This window comes from Homo sapiens, chromosome 3, assembly GCF_000001405.40.
Source record: "Homo sapiens chromosome 3, GRCh38.p14 Primary Assembly".
Classification (NCBI taxonomy): domain Eukaryota; kingdom Metazoa; phylum Chordata; class Mammalia; order Primates; family Hominidae; genus Homo; species Homo sapiens.
Window position 1 is genome coordinate 20,000,038 of NC_000003.12, and position 9,963 is coordinate 20,010,000.

The following is a 9,963-nucleotide window of genomic DNA, read 5'->3' on the forward strand; positions in this document are numbered from 1 at the left end:
ATTATCTGGCCTTGCAACACTGTCTCTGCCACAAAGTCCCACTCGCGGAGGCCCAGCCTCCTCAGGCTTTGGAAACAATCCCCTTAAGAGGTAACATGATATGGTAGGACTGATTTCCAACTCCAATTCCTATTACTTCTGAGACCTTGAACAAATTATCTCACATTTTTTAGCTTTAATTTCTCATCTGAAACATTGGGTTAACAATACTTAGATATCACTAGATATCAAAGTTATTGTAAGACTAGACGAGGAAATTACTCTGTATTCAATATTCAGTAAGTGGACACTATCATTAATGATAATTCTATCTATGAAAAGGGTAGTAGAACTGTAGTTAAGTATCTCATGGAACTCAGTGTGGAACTCATGTCAATTTTGCTAAAAAGTTTTACCTCTGAGCTTTCCATTTTGGCAAGTTCCTAAACTCCCTGAAATAACCTTTAAACAATACAGGTAACTTCTTAAAGAAGAGAATACACGCTCATAAAACTGAGGCATGAACTATTATTCTCTCTGAGATGAAATAGATGCTACTTGGCCAGTGAGCATGAGAATGACCTATTGCAAATACAGTTATCAGAGTAACTGACCAATTTAAACAACTACACTAACAATGAGCAAACAACTTTCCATTTTTCTGAAAAAAGGAAGTGTACAAAATGTTTTTAATTTTGTTCAGATTTAAGCATATGTAGTAACTTTGCTTTTCATCCTTATCAACAACTGTGTTGCTACCCCTTTGGGAAACTTTAACGTATTTGTCACATTATATCATATCTGTGCCTCTTTAAAAAATAATTACAATTATTTTTGTGCCTGCAATCTGCATTTAAATTGTGGTTATTTGTTGTTTCTTATATTGATCAATGCAATTTCTAGGTACTAAGTCACTAAATAATAGACAATAAAAAATTGTGGAAGCATGAGGGGTTTTGCTGCAAGGAACCAAAAACATAAAGGTGTTATTTGGTGCTATTCAATGTACATACCAGTGTTTGCAACATGTAATATTCCAGAAATTATTTTTGGCATCTCCTGGGAAGGGGAGCTCTCTGCCAACCCATCATGGGTATTTTTTCTTTTCCAATTCTTATGAGCATAAGGACTTTTAGGTTTGCCTTCCAATATACAAGTAACTGCAGAGCAGCCACTCCATTGAACCCTGGACACTTCTTTTCTTCCAAGACCTAAAAGCCTATCCATTCTCCAAAATGCTTTTGCAAAGGCTTTGTGTGTGTCCTCATACTCACACCTCACTGCTTCTGTTTTGTTTATGGCAGAAAAGAGGTCTTCTATTGCTGCGTATTCTTCTCTAAACACAGTGTAAAAGGAATTGATTATTTGTTGCTCATCAGTTGTCATTTGGTAAGAAGGATCAAATTTGGAAAGCTGATGGAGAAGTAAAACTGGGAGTTCCATTGATGTCAACTCTGCCGCTGAGGCACCGTGATGTCCATCAAACAAACCAAAAAAACACACATTAGGTTTGTTACCAAAATTACTCACTACAGTGAATTTATCATTCATGTCAGCTTTCCATGTAGAATTCCTGTCTTCACAAATGCCCACTCCTTTAATTAACAGATGACATATTTTTTGAGAATATATGACACTCCTGTCAATGTTATCAAAAATCTTATAGTATGCTGGTATTTGTTTTTTCCAAAGCAGCTCAAAAGCATTATTAATGCTCTGTAGGGTTTTTTCAGTGAACATAAAAGATGACAATAGTTTAGAAATCATGAACTGTCTCTGAACAGCAATCACTGAGGGCTGTGGTTTCTTTCTACCCATCCATTGGAAACCCAGCGTGGCCAGAGCTACATGTTGCTTCTTATGGAGAAAAATACCAGTTAGGTCAATTTCGTGCTTGCATATGGAACAGGGTAATGTGGTCCCTTGCTCATAGACCTGCTCCTCTTCATGGCGTTTGGTGTGTCTCACTGGTCTTGACTTTTTCTTTCTAAAACGTTTTCTTTTGGGTAAAAGTAGAATATCCTCATCTGAATCAAATGTTGATGTTTTCATATTCCATTCTCTTGATTTCCAAAACACTCTGCAAACAGGATGAAAGATATTTACATGCCAGGATGATGCAGCGAAAATCTCTTCAAGCAGGCTGTTATCATTGCAATTTGATTTGGCTCCTCACAATCTTATATAAGCCTAGGATTAAATATTCTGAGTCATATTTCTCAAAAAACATGTAAGTACTCAATTAACTGGTGATTGACCTGTGTCTCCCTGAAATAAATTAGGCAAAAATTCCAAAAAGTCAGCTAGACATCTAAGCAAATGCTCAGATAAATCAGCACAGTATTTTACCTTAGACATGCGAAAGTATGTATTTGAGACCTGAGATTCTGATTTCTAATATGGACATACAGTCATGTATTGCATAATGATGTTTCAGGCAATGATGGACCATATGCAACGGTGGTACCAAAAGATTATAATGGAGCCAAAAAATTCCTACTGCCTAGTGACATCATTGTTGTCTCAATGTCATAAAGTGCAACATGTCACTTATGTTTTTGTGATGCTGGTGTCAACAAACCTACTGTGCTGCCAGTCAAATAAAAGTATAGCAAATAGAAGGCCAGGCACGGTGGCTCACGCCTGTAATCCCAACACTTTGGGAGGCCGAAGTGGGCGGATCACTTGAGGTCAGGAGTTCAAGACCAGCCTGGCCAACATGGTGTAACCCTGTCTCTACTAAAAATACAAAAACTAGTTCGGGCGCGGTGGCTCACACCTGTAATCCCAGCACTTTAGGAGGCTGAGGCGGGCTGATCACGGGGTCAGGAGTTCAAGACCAGCCTGGCCAACATGGTGAAACCCCATCTCTACTGAAAATACAAAAAATTAGCTGGGCATGGTGGCAGGTGCCTGTAATCCCAGTTACTCAGGAGGCTGAGGCAGGAGAATTGCTTGAACCTGGGAGACGGAGGTTGCAGTGAGCCGAGATGGTGCCACTGCACTCCAGCCTGGGTGACAGAGCAAGACTCCATCTCAAAAAGAAAAAAAAAAAGTATAGCAAATACAAGTATGTACAGAACGTAATACCTGATAATGATAAATTACTATGTGGCTGGCTTATGTGTTTATGATAGTATACTTTTTATTGTTATTTTAGAGTGAACTCCTTATATTAAAAAAAAAATTAACTGTAAAACAACCTCAGACAGGCCCTCCAGGAGGTATTCCAGAAGAAGGCATTGTTAACATAGATGACAACTCCGTGTGTTATTGCTCCTGAAGACCTTCCAGTGGGACAAGATGTGGAGATGAAAGACAGTCACAATCCCAACTCTGTGTAGGCCAAGGTGTGTATTTTAGTTTTGTTTTTTTTTTTAAAAAAAAGGTTAAAAAGTTTTAAAATTTAAAAATAATTTTAATTTTTTAATAAAAATAAAATTTAGCTGGGCGCGATGGCTCACACCTGTAATCCCAACACTTTGGGAGGCCGAGGCGGGTGGATCACCTGAGGTCAGGAGTTCGAGACCAGCCTGGCCAACATGGTGAAACCCCGTTTCTACTAAAAATACAAAAAATTAGCTGAGCGTGGTGGCTTATGCCTATAATCCCAGCTACTTGGGAGGCTGAGGCGGGAGAATTGCTTGAACCCAGGAGACAGGAGGCGGAGGCTGCAGTGAGCAGAGATGGCGCCACTGCACTCCAGCCTGGGTGACAGAGTGAGACTCCATCTCAAAAGATAAATAAATAAATAATTTAAAATTTTAGTTAAAATTTTAATCAAAAAATTAAAAACAGAAAAAAGCCCCTAGAATAAGGATATGAAGCAAGTACTTTTTGTACAGCTGTACAATGTTTTTGTCTTTTAAGCCAAATGTTACAAAAGAATCAAAAAGTTGTAAAAATTTAAACGTTTACAAAGTAAAAAGTTACTGTAAGCTAAGATCAATTTATTATTGAAGAAAAAATAGTTTATAAGGTTAGTGTAACCTAAGTGTATTGGGTTTATAACATCTGCAGTAGTGTGCAATAATGTGCTAGACCTTCACACTCATCACTCACTGACACCCAGAGGGACTTCCAGTCCTGCAAGCTTTATTCATGGTAAGTCCCCTATTTTAAAATGTTGCATTTTTTATTCTTTGTACAATGTCTTATTGTACCTCTTCTGTGTTTAGGTACACAAATACTTACCATGTGTTACAATTGCCTACAGTATTCACTACAGTAACGCACTGTACAGGTTTGTAGCCCAGGAGCAATAGGCTATAGCATATAGCCCAGGTGTTAGTAGGCTGCACCATCTAGGTTTGTGTAAGTACACTCTATGACGTTCACACAACAGCGACATTGCCTAACAATGCACTTCTCAGAAAGTATCCCCATCGTTAAATGATGCATGATTGTAATTACTTTTGTACTGCATTTCGTCTGCCTTAAAACACTTGTGTTCTAATTAGAGAGTTCACAAGAAAATGAATGGATTATGCCAAAACCCAGCAGAATAAGAAAAAGAATTGATAGTAAGGACAGAATTTTTTTAAAAACTACAACAAAGAGGTACAGGGCGAGGATAGGAAAGAAAAGATGTAGAGCTGGATGATATATTTCTGGAAAGCAGGCATCATTTTATACGCCTTCCTATCAGAAACATCTAGTACTGTACTCGGCACCTGGGGCCATTTTTATCCATTTCATGTACAATTTCTAGGGCATGAGATATTTTCAAGGGCCTATGAAAAGTTAGAGACCAGAAAAAAAAATACTTTGGTTACAAAATATTTTAAAACTTGATAAAAATCAAAGTTAGCTGGGTGCAGTGGCTCATACCTATAATCCCAGCACTTTGGGAGGCCAAGGCAGGGAGATCACTTGAGGCCAGGAGTTTGAGACCAGCCTGGGCAACATAGTGAGGCCTCGTCTCTATTAACAATTAAAAAAAGAAAATCAGGTGTGATGGTATGCATGCCTGTAGTCCGAGCTACTCAGGAGGCTGAGGTGGGAGGATTTCTTGAGCCTGGGAGGTGGAAGCTGCAGTGAGCCATGATTGCACCACGACACTCCAGCGTGGGCTACAGATCGAGACCCTGTCTCAAAAATAAATAAATAAATAACTTTATATATACATTTTTTTTTTTAAATTTATTTTTTTTGAGACGGAGTTTCGCTCTTGTTGCCCAGCCTGGAGTACAAGGGCGCAATCTCGGCTCACCGCAACCTCCACCTCCTGGGTTCAAGCGTTTCTCCTGCCTCAGCCTCCCAAGTAGCTGGGATTACAGGCATGCACCACCACACCTGGCTAATTTTGTATTTTTAGTAGAGACAGTGTTTCTCCATGTTGGTTAGGCTCGTCTTGAACTCCCGACCTCAGGTGACCTACCTGCCTCAGCCTCCCAAAGTGCTGGGATTACAGGCATTAGCCACTGTGCCCAGCCATAAATATTTATGAAATGTGACATTACAAAAACTAGTCAACTTCAACTCAGTTCATATATAAATTGTATTTGAGATGGGTACCTTTTAATGTGTTAGAGTAATGAGGGATGGAGCCTACGACACTAAGAATACTTGGAGCCTCTAAGTACTTAAAACATCTCAGACACATAATAGATATTCAACAGTTGAGTATCTATTGATATTCTATAGATAGTTGGTAGTTAGATAAGAAATTAACCCACTTAATTATAATGACAATATGATAATAATAATGAAATATATTTTATTATAAAAGGTATGCATCGTCATGTTCTTAAGTTCAATGCAGAAGGATACAAAGTAGAAAACAAAAGAATGTTTTTGTCTTCCCACCCCACTTGAACCCGGGAGGTGGAGGTTGCGGTGAGCTGAGATCAAGCCATTGTACTCCAGCCTGGGCAACAAACCCCAGCCCCAATAGTAATTATGTTATCTATCTTTCCAAATATAAATTTGAATATAAGATCTTTTCTGGCCCTGTGCAGTGGCTCACGCATAATCCCAGCACTTTGGGAGGCCAAGGCAGGTGGGTCACTTGAGGTCAGGAGTTTGGGACTAGCCCAGCCAACATGGTGGAACCCTGTCTCTACTAATAGTACCCCAAAAATTAGATGGGCGTGATGGCACACCTGTAATCTCAGCTACTCGGGAGGCTGAGGCAGGAGAATTGAATGAACCTGGGAAGTGGAGGTTGCAGTGAGCCAAGATCAAGCCACTGCACTCCAGCCTGGGCGACAGAGCGAGACACTGTTCAAAAACAAAAACAAACAAATAAACAAATACATTTTCTGAAGGCAAGTAGGGACCCATTTTGCATACCATCCTAAAATCTGATGTTTTCAGTAAATGCTAGGTCATGCACAGGAAGTTTGAATATGGAAAAACAAAACAATATACATCGTCCCTAGGTATCTGTGGGGCTTGGTTCCAAGACCACCCTCTCCATGCATGGATACAAAAATCTAAGGATGCTTAGGTCCCTGATATAAATGGCGTAGTATTTGCATCTTCCTTGTATGTTGCCTCACTGTGTCACCCAGGAGTGCAGTGGCCTAGAACTCCTGGGCTCAAGCCATCCTCCCACCTCTGCCTCCATAGTAGCTGTAACTACAGGCGTGCACCACCACGCCTGGCTAATTTTTTCATTTTTAGTAGAGATGAGTTTTTGCCATGTTGGCCAAGCTGGTCTTGAACTCCTGGCCTCATGTGATCCACCCGCCCTGCCTCAGCCTCCCAAAGCGCTAGGATTACAGGTGTGAGCTACTGCATCGGCCCTCCCGTATACTTGTTTATTTATTTATTTGAGACGGAGTCTTGCTCTGTCGCCCAGGCTGGAGTGCAGTTGTGTGATCTGGGCTCACTGCAACCTCTGCCTCCTGTGTTCAAGCAATTCTCTCGCCTCAGCCTCCCAAGTAGCTGGGATTACAGATGCCCGCCTAAAATATATATACGTATGTGTGTATATATATATACATATATATACACACATATATATGTATACACACACACACACGTATACACACACACACACACACACACACGTATATATATTGTATTTTTAGTAGAGATGAGTTTTCACCATGTTGGCCCAGGCTCGTCTTGAACTCCTGACTCAAGTGATCCGCCCAGCTCTGCCTCCCAAAGTCCTAGGATTACAGGCGTAAGCCACCGCACCCGGGCCCTCCTGTATACTTTAAATCATCTCTTGATAGAATATACATAATCAATGTAAATGCTATGTAAATAGTTCTTATACTGTATTTTTATTTGTATTATTTTATTGTTGTATTGGTTTATTAGTATTATTATTTTAGGAGGTATTTTGGGAATATTTTCTATCCAAAGTTGGTTGAATTCACAGATGCAGAACCTTCAGATATGGAGGACTGACTCTGTTGTGAAAAATGTAGACTTAGGATTTTTTTTTCAGGGGAGGAAAAAGCATGTAACTTTACGTAACTGACTGAAAAATACATTCAAGAAATAGTAAATAGAGGCCAGGTGCGGTGGCTCACGCCTGTGATCCCAGCACTTAGGGAGGCCGAGGCTGTCGGATCACCTGAGGTCAGAAGTTCGAGACCAGCCTGGCCAACATGGAGAAACTCCGTCTCTGCTAAAAATACAAAATTAGCCAAGCGTGGTGGCGTATGCCTGTAATTCCAGCTACTTGGGAGGCTGAGGCAGGAGAATCGCTTGAACCCGGGAGGCGGAGGTGGTGGTGAGCCGAGATCATGCCATTGCACTCCAGCCTGGGCAACAAGAGCAAAAATCCGTCTCAAAAAAAAAAAAAAAAAAGAGAGAGAGAGAATAAAAGAAATAGGAAATAGAATATAATACGACCTCATGAACCCTGAAGGAGTGGGAGTAATCGTTATGTCCGAATAATCTCCTAGTTGTAACTTCTGTGACTGCAGGGGTCATGGAATCACCAGTCCCCTTTCTGCCAGATGTGGCGCTGCCAATCTCCTTAACTCGATAGCCAGATCTTTTAATATCTGTAAAAACCTATAAAATTGAAATGTGTGCCCTTCTTTCTAGCCTCTGGATAGACTTATTTTACTAAGCTCAGTTCTTTCAAGGTTGCATCTATCCAAGTGTAGGTCGCCAGCACGCTGGACGGTATGTTTCATCCGGAGAACTCGACCATTCGGTGGCGGCGGCTGTTACTGGCGGCAGCGGGCCTGTCTGCTTGTGAGGATCAGCTTCTGAAGCTCCTTCTTAATTTCCTTCTGGGTAATGTGCGACTCCACAGCCATCTTTCTCCTACGGTCTCAGACTTTGAATAAAAACAAAAACAAGTTGGTCGCGGTGGCTCACGCCTGTAATTCCAGCACTTTGGGAGGCCGAGGAGGGCGGATCACGAGGTCGGGAGTTTGAGACCAGCCTGACCAACATGGTGAAATCCGTCTCTACTAAAAATACAAAATTACCTAGGAGTGGTGGCTCATGTCTGTAATCCGAGCTACTCGGGAGGCTGAGGCAGGAGAATCGTGTGAACCCGGGAGGTGGAGGTTGCAGGGAGCCGAGATCACGCCATTGCACTCCAGCCCGGGCAACAAGAGTGAAACTCTGTCTCAAAACAAACAAGACAACCAAACAAAAAAACTGTCCCTGGGCGGGCGCTGTAGCTCACACCTGTAATCTCAGCTACTCAGGATGCTGACACTGGAGGATGCTTGAGCCCAGGAGGTTGAGGCTGCAGTGAGCTGTGATCACGCCACTGTACTCCACCTAGGTTACAGAGGGAGACCAGGTCTCTTAAACAAAAAAAATTCATTTACTAACTGTATAACCTCAATCAAGTCATTTAATCTCTCTGAGCATCTGCTTTCTTATCTGTAAAATGCACAAGGTTGCTTTTAGCCTCAAATGAGGTAAACGGTGAAAGAGTTGGTGGTACCTAGGGGACACTGAAAAAAAAGCCTGCTCATTCTGCCCTAAGTGAAAAGGACACTGAGAACTATGCCAAATAAAAATACATTACATAAAGGCATGAAATTACAATGCTTAGGGAGAAATGTGTTCTATGTAAAATTAATTAAGAAACAATCAGATCGATGGGAGAGGATTGTTTTAACGACCTGTATTTGAGAACTGTGTAATGCATATTTACTAAGATGTTGTGGTAAGTTGTTTATATCATCACTTAGTTACAGCTATGTTACATGGTTTAAGAGAAAATGAACTTGGCCAGGTGCAGTGGCTCACACCTGTAGTCTCAACACTTTGGGAGGCTGAGGTAAGAGGGCTGCTTGAGGCCAGGAGTTGGGGACCAGCCTGGGCAACATAGTGAAACCCCTTCTCTACAAAAAACTTAAAAATTAACTGGGCATAGTGGTGCACACCTGTAGTCCCAGCTACTTGGAGAATGAGCGGGGAGAATTGCTTGAGCCCAGGATTTTGAGGTTTCAGTGAGCTATGACAGTGCCACAATACTCTAGCCTGGGTGACAGACTGAGACCCTGTCTCAAAAAAATACAAAAAGTATATTAAATTAAAAATAAAATGTGAGCTGTATAAATAAAACAATTAGAAGAAATACATGTAAATTAAAAATGAATGGAAAATAATGTAATGTCCATAGAAAACAGGGTAAATATCTTTAAGATGCTAGCCAGTAGAATTTGAATCCTGTAAATTATGCAAAAATCACTTCTAGGAAGGAAAGCCTTCTATGATAAACGATAAATAATAGTGCACTATGTGATAGGCAAAAGGGCTTTAGCAACCTTCATACATGATTTACACGTGGCAATATAAATAAAAATTAAAGAAGCAAGCAAAACTGATAAATTTGAAATGTTTTGCCACTTTATTTGTATTTAATTCCATGAAGCGTACAACTGTATTGGATACAGCTACTTATCCCTGTAGTAAAATTTTATTTACAAATGTCCACGTTATAAATACTTTTAGAACTATTTGAATTTTGGGAAGCCTTCATGGCTTTCCCTCACCAACGATTTTTTTTTCCTTTTTTAATGGAAAATTTAAAAATTACACCAAAAT

General features: G+C 40.5%; 1 protein-coding gene, 1 long non-coding RNA gene and 1 pseudogene across 3 annotated transcripts in view, besides 1 other annotated feature; 1 reads left to right on the forward strand and 2 right to left on the reverse strand.

Annotated features, from left to right (window-relative positions):
- PP2D1 (protein phosphatase 2C like domain containing 1) overlaps nt 1–9,963 on the reverse strand; it is a 32,304-nt gene that overhangs the window by 20,077 nt on the left and 2,264 nt on the right. For both annotated transcript variants that reach the window (NR_027694.2, NM_001252657.2), the window contains exon 2: nt 993–2,059. Coding sequence is in view for 1 of the 2 variants with exons in the window: in NM_001252657.2 (NP_001239586.1) it covers nt 993–2,059 (1,067 nt within the window). In the remaining variant the exon portion in view is untranslated. The remainder of the gene's footprint in view (nt 1–992; nt 2,060–9,963) is intronic.
- Nucleotides 2,754–2,895: a silencer, noted in NCBI's record as "fragment chr3:20044283-20044424 (GRCh37/hg19 assembly coordinates)". NCBI's record gives its function as "represses an EF-1alpha promoter that drives an FKBP-Casp9 reporter gene in an ReSE screen in phorbol 12-myristate 13-acetate-treated (for megakaryocytic differentiation) K562 erythroleukemia cells {active_cell/tissue: K562(+PMA)}" and the evidence as "EXISTENCE:reporter gene assay evidence [ECO:0000049][PMID:32094911]".
- LOC124909352 (uncharacterized) lies at nt 3,000–8,259 on the forward strand. The gene is made up of 2 exons (XR_007095843.1): nt 3,000–3,329; nt 8,055–8,259. It is a non-coding gene; the product is annotated as an uncharacterized LOC124909352 (long non-coding RNA).
- SAP18P3 (SAP18 pseudogene 3) lies at nt 7,776–8,230 on the reverse strand (annotated as a pseudogene).